Source organism: Homo sapiens, chromosome 11 (genome assembly GCF_000001405.40).
Source record: "Homo sapiens chromosome 11, GRCh38.p14 Primary Assembly".
Classification (NCBI taxonomy): Eukaryota; Metazoa; Chordata; class Mammalia; order Primates; family Hominidae; genus Homo; species Homo sapiens.
Window position 1 is genome coordinate 125,793,110 of NC_000011.10, and position 10,818 is coordinate 125,803,927.

At 36.3% G+C, this 10,818-nt stretch overlaps 1 annotated feature.

Annotated features, from left to right (window-relative positions):
- Nucleotides 9,673-10,174: an enhancer, noted in NCBI's record as "H3K27ac hESC enhancer chr11:125672677-125673178 (GRCh37/hg19 assembly coordinates)". NCBI's record gives its function as "activates a minimal SCP1, AML or CMV promoter by ChIP-STARR-seq in naive H9 embryonic stem cells {active_cell/tissue: H9 hESC(naive)}" and the evidence as "EXISTENCE:reporter gene assay evidence [ECO:0000049][PMID:30033119]".

A 10,818-nucleotide genomic window follows, 5' to 3' on the forward strand; every position in this document is an offset into this window, starting at 1 on the left:
CAGAACACTTTCATATGTCTGTTTTCCATTTGCATGTCTTCTTCTGAGAAATGTCTATTCAAATCTTTTGCCCATTTTTGACTGGATTATTAGATTTCTTCCTATAAAGTTGTTTGAGCTCTGTATATATCCTGGTCATTATTCTCTTGTCAGGTGGGTAATTTGCAAATATTTTCTCCTATTCTGTGGGTTGTCACTTCACTTTGTTAACTGTTTCCTTTGCTATGCAGAAGTTTACATTGATGTTATCCCATTTGTCCATTTTTCCTTTGATTATCTGTGCTTATGTGGTATTGCTTAAGACATTTTTGCCCGGAACAATGTCCTGGAGAGTTTCCTAAAAGTTTTCTTACATTCTTTTAATGGTTAAAGTTTTTAATCCATTTTGATTTGATTTGTGTATATGGTGAGAGGTAGTGGTCAAGTTTCATTCTTTTGCATATGGATATCCAGTTTTCCCAGCGCCATTTGTTGAAGAGTCTGTCTTTTCCCCAGTGTATGTTCTTGGCACCTTTGTCAAAAATAAGTTTGCTGTATGTGTGTGGATTTGTTTCTGAATTCTCTATTCTGTTCTATGTGTTCTATGTATTCTGTTCTATTCTGTTATAGGTCTATGTGTCTGTTTTTATGCCAGTACCATGCTGTTTTGGTGAGTATAGCTCTGTACTATAATTTGAAGTCAGGTAATGTGATTCCTCCAGTTTTGTTCTTTTTGTTCAGAATACCTTTGGATATTCTGGGTCTTCTGTGATTCCATGTAAATTTTAGTATTGTTTTTCTATTTTGGTAAAGAATGTCATTGGTATTTTGATAAAAATTGCATTGAATCTGTAGAATGTTTTGGGTAGTATGGACATTTTAACACTATTGATTCTTATAATTCATGAACATGAAATATAATTTAATTTTTTAATATCTTCTTCAATTTCTTTCATCAGTGTTTTATAGTTTTTGTTGTAGAGATATTTCACTTCTTTGGTTAAGTTCATACCTAAGTATTTAATTTTTTTCTGTGGCTATTATAAATTGGATTTCTTTCTTGGTTCCTTTCTCAGAATGTTTGCTATTGGCATACATAAATGTTACTAATTTTTGAATGTGGATTTTGTATTCTGCAACTTTATTGAGTGTGTTTATCAGTTCTATTTTTCAGTGGAGTCTTTAGGTTTTTCTTACTATAAGATCATATCATCTGCAAACAAGGACAATTTGAATTCTTCCTTTCCAATTTGGATGCCCTTTATTTTCTTCTCTTGTCTGACTGCGCTAGCTAGAAATTCCAGTACTGTGTTGAATAACAGAGGTGAAAATGGGCATTCTAGATCTAAGAGGAAAGACCTTCTGTTTTATTTTTTATTTTTTATGATATTAGCTGTGGGTCTGTCATATATGGTTTTTATTATGTTATTTTCATTCTGTACACAGTTTTTTGAGGGCTTTGAACATGAAGGGATGTTGAACTTTATTAGATGCTTTTTAGCATCAGTTGAAAATATCATATTTTTTTGTCCTTCATTCTGTGGATATGGTGTATCACACTGATTGATTTGCATATGTTGAACCATCCTTGCCTCTCTAGGATAAATCCCACTTGGTCATGATGAATGATCCTTTTAATGTATTGTTGACTTAGGTTTGCTGGTATTTTGTTTGGGATATTTGCACCAATATTCATCAGTGATATTTACCCGCAGTTTTCTTTTTTTGATGTGTCTTTGTCTGGTTCTGGTATCGGGTAATACTGGCTTCATAGAATAAGTTTGAAAGCATTCCCTTCTCCTATTTCTCAGAATAGTTTGAGTAGAATTGACATTAGTTATTCTTTAAATGTTTAGTAGATCTCAGCAGTACCACCATCAGGTCCTGGGCTTTTTTTAACTGAGTGACTCTTAATTACTGTTTTGGTCTTGTTACTTTTTACTGGTCTCTTCAGGTTTTGAATTTCTTCATGTTTGAATCTTTGCAGGTTGTATGTGCTTAGGAATTCATTCATTTTCTCTAGATTTTCCAGTTTATTGGCATATAATTGCTCATAGTACCTACTAATGATCCTTGGAATTTCTCTGGTATCAGTTGTAATGTCTCCTTTTTCATCTCTAGTTTTAAGTATTTGGGTCTTCCCTCTTTTTTTCTTAGTCTGGATAAAGGTTTGTCAATTTTGTTTATCTTTTTTAAGAAACCAACTTTTGGTTTCATTGATCTCTTGTATTGTTTTCTATCATTTCAAATTCATTTATTTCTGCTCTGATCATTATTTCTTTTCATCTACTAATTTTGAGTTTGGTTTGCTCTTGCTTTTCTAGTTCTTTAAGATGCATCATTAGGTCATTTATTTGAAGTTTTTTTCTTTTTTGATGCAGACACTTATAGCTGTAAGTTCACCTCTTAGTACTGCTTTCACTGTATTCCATAGGTTTTGGTATGTTATCTTTCTATTATCATTTGTTTCAAGACATTTCTCAATTTCTCAATTTTTTCATTGATCCACTGGTCATTTGGGAGTATATTGTTTAATTTCCATGTGTTTGTATAGTTTTCAAAATTCCTCCTGTTATTGATTTCTAGTTTTATTCCTTTTTGCTCAGCGACGATGTTTGGCATTATTTCAACTTTTTTGAATGTTTTAAGACTTGTTTTGTGACCTACAATAGGACATATCCTTGAGAATGATTCATGTGCTGAGGAGAAGAATGTGTATTCTGCACCTGTTGGATGATATGTTTTGTAAATATCTACTAGGTACATTTGTTCTATAGTGCAGATAAAGTCTGATGTTTCTTTGTTGATTTTCTGTTTTGATGATCTGTCCAATGCTGAAAGAGGGATGTTGAAGTATTCAGCTATGATTTTATTGAGATATTTCTCTTTAGCTCTAATAACATTTGCTTTATATATTTCATGCTCCAGGACTCTGTCCTGGTCTGTAAAGTCATCACTAAAAAATCTGCATCCAGACATATTGGAGCTCCATTGTATGTGATTTCTTTCTTTTCTCTTGCTGCTTTTAAGATCCATGCTTTATCCTTGGCCTTTGGGAATTTGGGTTAAATCCACTTAGTGTTCTATCACCTTCTTGTACTTCAATATTAATATCTTTCTCTAGGTTTGGGAAGTTCTCTGATATTATCCATTTGAATAAACTTTCTATCACTGTCTCTTTTTCTACCTCCTCTTTAAGGTCAATAACTCTTAGATTTGCCCTTTTGAGGTTGTCTTCTACATCTTATAGGCATGCTTCATTTTTTTTTTTTTTTTTTTTTTTGCATTCTCAGCCCATGCTGCTTTATTGCTAAAAAACATATATACACAGGGGCAGAGTTTCCACCTCTTTTAACAGCTCCTTTTTACATCAAATAATTCAGTTTCTTTTTCAAAACCCCCAAAGATGCATAGATTAAAAAGCAAGCTGCCTTTTGTAATACTTCAAATAATATTCAATGAAATTCTTTTTAACATTATACGCCAATGGTGCAATGGAGAATATGGAGGATAGCAAATAAACACAGTCAGCAACTCTTATTCTTACAAGGCAGTAAGTAAAGTATAATGTGAAGGACAATCTAAGATAATCTTTCTGGTTATAATAGATGGGTGGTTTTAAGAAAAGTGCCAAGACTGTTACTGTTTAATGATTAATGATAATGTATTACCAGGGTATCTTTCTTACTCCTTAGAGAAAAATACTTTTTCACTGATGGAATAACATATCATCACCAAGGGAGAAAAAAACCTGAAAACTGTCAATAACTAAGATACCTATTCTGACTTTAAAGAAGGTATAGGAGATCATGGAGAAATCCTTCTTTTTTATTCTTTTCTTCTTTTGTCCCCTCTGACTGTGAATTTTCAAATAGCTTGTCTTCAAGATTACTAATTCTTTCTTCTGTTTGATCAATTCTGCTATTAAGAGACTCTGATGCATTCTTTAAAATGTCCATTGCATTTTTCAACTCTAGAACTTCTAATTGATTTTTAAATTATTTCTGTCTCTTTGTTAAAGATGTCTAATAGAATTTTGAATTTCTTCTCTCTGTTATCTTGAATTTCTTTGAGTTTCCTCAAAACCACTATTATTTGGGAGAAACTGGCCAAACACAGTGGCTACAGGACCCATGCAAGTCTGAAAGCCAATAGGGCAGGCATTAAACCTTAAAGTTCCAAAACAATCTCCTTTGACTCCATGTCTCCCAAGGCCTTAGGCAGCTCTGACCCTGTGGCTTTGCAGGGTACAGCCCCCCTCCCAGCTGCTTTCACAAGCTGGTGTTGAGTGTCTATGGCTTTTCCAGGCACCGGTGCAAGTTGTCAGTGGATCTACCATTCTGGAGTGTGGAGGATGGTGGCCTTCTTCTCACAGCTCTATTAGGCAGTGCCCCAGTAGGGACTCTGTGTTGTGGCTCCAACTCCATATTTCCCCTCTGCACTGCCCTAGCAGAGGTTCTCCATGAGGGTTCCACCCCTGAAATACACCTCTGCCTGGACATCATGCATTTCCGTATCTTCTCTGAAATCTAGGCAGAGGATCCCAAACCTCAATTCTTGTCTTCTGTGCACCTGCCAGACCAACACCACGTGGAAGCTACCAAGGCTTAGGGCTTGAACCCTCTGAAGCCATGGCCCGAGCTGTAACTTGTCCCCTTTAGCCACAACTGGAGCAGCTGGGATGCAGTGCACACAGCAGGGGTCCTTAGACCCGCCCCAGGAAACTACTTTTCCCGCCTAAGCCTCTGGGCCTGTGATGGGAGGGGCTGCCATGAAGGGTTCTTACATGCCCTAGAGACATTTTTCCCTTTGTCTTGGAGATTACCTTTTGGTTTCTCATTACTTATGCAAATTTATGCAGCCAGATTGAATTTCTCCCCAGGATTTTTTTTTAATCACATCATCAGGTTGCCAATTTTCCAAACTTTTATGCTCTGCTTCCTCTTGAATGCTTTGCCACTTAGGAATTTCTTCAGCCAGATGCCCTAAATCATCTCTCTGAACTTCCAAGTTCCACAGATCTCTAGGGCAGAGGCACAATGCTGCCAGTCTCTTTGTATAGCAAGAGTGACTTTTACTCCAGTTCCCACAAGTTTCTCATCTCCATCTGAGACTACTTCAGCCTGGACTTTATTGTCCATATCCCTATCAGCATTTTGATCAAAGCCATTTAACAAGTCTCTAGGAAGTTCCAAACTTTCCCACATCTTCCTGCCTTCTGAGCCCTCCAAGTCTCTAGGAAGTTCCAAACTTTACCACATTTTCCTGCCTTCTTCTGAGCCCTCCAAACTGTTCTAAACTCTGCCTGTTACCCAATTCCAAAGTCGCTTCCACATTTTTGGGTATCTTTACAGCAATGCCTCACTACCTGGCACCAATTTACTATGTTAGTCTGTTCTCATGCTGCTAATAAAGACATACCTGAGACTGGGTAATTTACAAAGGAAAGAGATTTAATTGACTCACAGTTCTGCAGGGCTGATCAGCCTCAGGAAACTTACAATCATGGCAGAAGGGGAAGCAAACAGGTTCTTCTTCTCCTTCTTTGTGTGATGGCAACAAGGAAAAGTGCAGACTGAAGCGGGGAAAAAGCCCCTTATAAAACCATCAGACCTCAGGATAACTCACTATCATGAGAACAGCATGGAGGTAACTGCCCCCATGATTCAGTTACCTCCCACTGGGTACCTCCCACAACACGTGGTGATTATGGGAACTACAATTCAAGATAAGATTTCGGTGGAGACACAGCCAAACCATATCAGTCATGATCAATGATATTTTAATGTGTTGTTGAATTCAGTTTGCTAGCATTTTCTTGAAGTTTTTTTTTATAAATATTCATCAGATATGTGAGCCAGTAGTTTTGTTTTTCTGATATGTCTTTCTCTGGTTTGGTATCAGGATAATACTGGCCTCATAGAATGAGTTTGGATGTATTCCCTCCTCCACTATTTTTTGGAATAGTTTGAGTAGGATTGGTATTAGTTCTTTAAATGTTTGGTAGAATTCAGTAGTAAAAATGTTGATTTCATTACTTATTGGTCTGTTCAGGTTTTGGATTTCTTCTGATTCAATTTGGTTGGTTGTATGTATCTAGGAATTTGTCCATTTCTTCTAGAGTTTCCAATTTATTGGTATATAGTTCCTCCTATTAGCCACTGATGATCCTTTCATTCTCTGCAGTGTCAGTTCTAATGTCTTCTTTTTCATTTCCAATTTTATTTATTTGAATCTTCTCTCTTTTTTCTTAGTCTGACTAAAGGCTTGTCAATTTTGTTTAACTTTTCAAAAAAACCAACTTTTTGTTTCATGAATCCTTTGTATTTTTTAATTTCAATTTCATTTATTTCTACTCTGGTCTTTATTATTTCTCTTCTGCTAATTTTGGGTTTGGTTTGCTCTTGTCTTTCTAATTCTTTTAAGATGCATTGTTAGTTTGTTCATTTGAAGGTTTTTTAAAGGTAGACACTTAAAGCTATAAACTTCTGTCTTAGTACTGCTTTTGCTATATCCCATAGGTTTTGGTATATTGTATTTCCATTCTATTTGTCTCAAGAAATTTTTCAATTTTCTTCTTAATTTCTTCATTGACCCACTGGTCATTTAGGTGCAATTCAGGAGCATATTGTTTAATTTCCATGTATTTGTATAGTTTCCAATGTTCCTCTTCTTACTGATTTCTAGTTTTATTCCATTATGGTCAGAGAAGATGCTTGCCATTATTTCATTTTTTAAAAATGTTTTATGGCTTGTTTTGGAACCTAACATATGATGAGAATGATCCATGTGCTGAGAAGATCAATGTGTATTCTGCAACTCTTGGATGAAGTGTTCTGTTAATATTTACTAGATTCGTTGGTCTGTAGTGCATATTAAGTCTTATGTTTCTTTGTTGATTTTCTATCTGGGAGATCTGTCCAGTGCTGAAAGTGGGGTGTTAAAGTCTGCAGTTACTATTGTATTGAAGTCTATCTCTCTTTTTAACTCTAATAATATTTCCTTTATATATCTGAGTGCTCCAGTGTTCGGTGTATACATATTTAAAATTATTATAGCCTCTTGCAGACTTGATCTCTTTATCATTATGTAGTGATATAATAATATCACTTCTTCTTTGCCTCTTCTAGTTTTTGTCTTGAAATCTATCTTGTCTTATATAAGTACAGCAACTCCTGCTTTTTTTTGGTTTTCATTGGCATGGAATATCTTTTTTCATCTCTTCATTTTCAGTCTATGTGTGTCTCTGTAGGTGAAGTATGTTTCTTGCAGGCAACAGATCAATGAGTCTTGTATTTTCATCCACTCAGCCAGTCTATGTCTTTTGATCAGAGAGTTTAGTCCATTTACATTCAATGTTATTACTGATAAGTAAGGACTTATTCCTGCCATTTTGTTATTTTTTTTCTGGCTTTTTTTTGGTCTTCTCTTTATTCTTTATTTCCTTTCTGTCTTCCTCTAGTGAAGGTGACTTTCTCTGGTGATATGATTTAGTTTCTTTCTTGCTTTTTATATATTTTAGTTTCTATTTTGCTACACCTTTTCTTCTTTCTGATTTTTATTTTGTGTTTTTTTTGTCTACTATTTTAAGTTGGGTGTATTTGTTATTTCTTTTTTCTTTTTACGTATATTTAATACTATGAATTTTTCTCTGAAAAATGCCTTAGCTATATTTTATAATTTCTGATATTTTATGTTTCCCTATACTTGCTATTAAAAAATTCTGCATTTTTGTCTTAAATTTTTCTGTTGATGTAAGAGTTGCTAAATAGTATGTTGCTACATTTCCAGCTTGCAGTGCTTTTTTGGATTGGTTTTCAGCATCTAGTTTATTGCACTGTAGTAAGTGAATATTGCTTATGTTAATTCTATTTTTGGAAGTTATCAAGTATTTGTTTGAGGCATTGCAAAGGTTTCTCAAGTTCAGATATTTGAAAGAGCCACCAGACTTCATAGAACACACTTATTCTCTTTGGAACATATAAATTCATACAGCATACTTAATAAGGTCTTTATTTAAAGATAAAAGACTGCAGCAAATGAAACAGTGCAGACAAATACTGGGAGATCTGAGAGAAATCCCATGCACAAATTCTGCAGTCCTTTTTTTGCACAGAGACTGCACTCTGTCTTTGGACTGTGCAATCACAATCTGTGTGGGGAATCTTGGCTTCAGGAAACATCAAAGAGTTACAACATTTCAGTCAGACAAGACGAATAAATTCCAGAGATCTATTGTACAGCATAGTAACTATTGCTAATGACAATGTAGTTTATACTTACGAACTGCTAAAAGTAGACCTTAAATGTTCTAATGACAAAACATAACAAGTATATGAGGCAGATATGTTAATTTGATTTAACCATTTCACAATTTATATATATATCCAAATATCATATTGTACTATCTTCCTATCTTTCTTCATGATGTGATGATTTTTTGTAGTGATATGCCTTGATCCCTTTATCTTTGTCTCTGTGTGTGTGTGTGTGTGTATCTACTACAGACTTTTTCTTCCTGGTTACCACAAGGCTTACATAAAACATATTATCATTAGAACCGCCTATTTTAATCAGATGAAATCTGAACTAGCTGCATACAAAAACTCTACACTTTACCTTCTTCTTCCCTCACATTATATTTTATTGATGCACAATTTACATCTTTTATATATTGTTTACTAATTAACAAATTATTGTACTTACAGTTGTTTTTAATGTCATTGTCTTTTAACTTTTTACTAGAGTTAAAACTGATTTATGCACTACCAATACAGTATTAAAGTATTCTGAATTTGACTATATTCTTACTTTTATAGTGAGATTTATACTCTCATATGTTTTTATGATGTTAGAATCCTTCTCTTTCAATTTAAGGCATTCTCTTTAGCACTTTTTCTAGGGCAGGTCTACTGGTGATAAACTCCCACAGCTTCTGTTTCTGGGAAAGTCTTTATCTCCCCTTCATTTCTGAAGGACAGTTTTGCTGAGTATAGTATCTTTGGTTGACAAGTATTTTTTTCTTTCAGCATTTTAAATATATCATCCCACTCTCTCCTGGCCTGCAAGTTTTCCACTGAGACTATCACTAATAGTCTTACAAAGGATCCCTTCTATATGATGAGTTTATTTTCTCCAAATGCTTTCAAAATTTTCTGTCTTTTACTTGAGAATTTGATTACAATGTGGTCATAGAAGGTTTTTTGTATTTAAACCTTTGTTCTTTGGGATTTGTGGATCTGATGTTTACTTCTCCAGATTTGTGAAGCTTTCTATCATTATTTCTTTAAAAAAAAAAAAAAGGCTTTCCATCTTTTTCTCGTGCTCTGCTTTCTAGGACTCCCATAACATGTGAATTAATTTCCTTGCCAGTGTCCTATATGTTCTGTAGGCTTTCTGCATTCTTTTTAATTCCTTTTTCTTTTTGTTTTTCTGATTAGGTAATTTCAAATGACCTGTCTTCAAGATTACCAATTATTTATTCAGCTTGATTGAGTCTGCTATTGAAGCTCTCAATTCAACTTTTTATTTCAGTCATTGTATTCTTCAGTTCTAGAATTTGTGTTTGGTTCTTTTTAAAGGTTTTTATCTCAGTTGAAATTCTCATCTTGTTCATGTATTGGGTTTTCCTGATTTTGTTTAGTTCTGTGTTCTCTTGTAACTCAGTTTTTTAAAGATAATGATTTTAAATTATTTTTCAGACAGTTCATAGATCTCCATTACTTTAGGGTCATATACTGACACTTCTTTTTTTCCCTTTGCTGGTGTTATTATTATCTTTCATGATTCTTGTGGCCTTATGTTGGTGTTTGTACATTTGAAGAACTATGCACTTCTTCCAGTCTTTACAGACTGGCTTTGGCCAGTAAAGCCCTTTACCAGTTAACACATATAAGGATTCTCGGTATGCTGCCTGGCAGGGTCTATGAGCAGGCTTATTACATGAGTCCTCAGGAGAGCTGGCTGGTGCCTAGGTTAGCAAGTGGAAGATCTTGGTGCCGGGTTGGTGCCTGGGTTATCAAGTGGAAGATCTTAGTGCCTGAGTCCAAGAGGGCTGGCCTAACAATGAGGTGAGCCAGGTGCCTGGGTCCACAGGAATTGGCCTTGTCCTGAGTCTGCTGGCCTTATGCCAGGGTCCACTGGGGCATGCCCGGTGCCTGGGTCTACAAGCATGGGACTGGAGCCTAGGTTCATGGAGGCCATTCTAGCACTGGAGTGGGCAATAAGCCTAAGCCCATAGTGGTGGATCTAGGTTCTGATCTGAAGGTATCATGTTGAAATCTGGTCTGGAAGGGTGATCCTGGAGACTAGGTTCATGTGGACCAGTCCAGTGCTGAGGTCTCAAGTGGCCTTATACCCTGGATCCACTGAAGCAGGCCTGGAACTTGGTGCCACTGAAAGCTAGGGCTATAGGAGTCAGCCTGGCATTGGAGTGGACCTGGAGCCTGAGCCTGTGGGAGCTTGCATAGAGCCTGAGTCCACAGGGGCTAATATGGCATTGGGGCAAACCTGGAGCATGGGGTTGCAGGTGGTAGCCTGGAGTCTGGGTCTGCAGGGAGTAGCCTGAGTCCTGAGGCCACAAGGGAAAGTCTATAGTCTGGATGTTGGGGGACAGACTGATGGTTGGCTCTGTGGGTGCAAACCTGGAGCATAGGTCCATGGGGGCTGGCCCAGAGCCTGAAGCCATGGAGGAGAGCCTGATACTGGGGTTGACGGGGGTAGGGGGAGTGGCTCATACAAGGTCTGCGGTGACACTGGGTGTTTATTTCACTCTCTTTACCCCATGCAGAGGGTATCTTTCTCCATGTTGTACTGCCTGGGCTTGGGGGAGGGGTGATA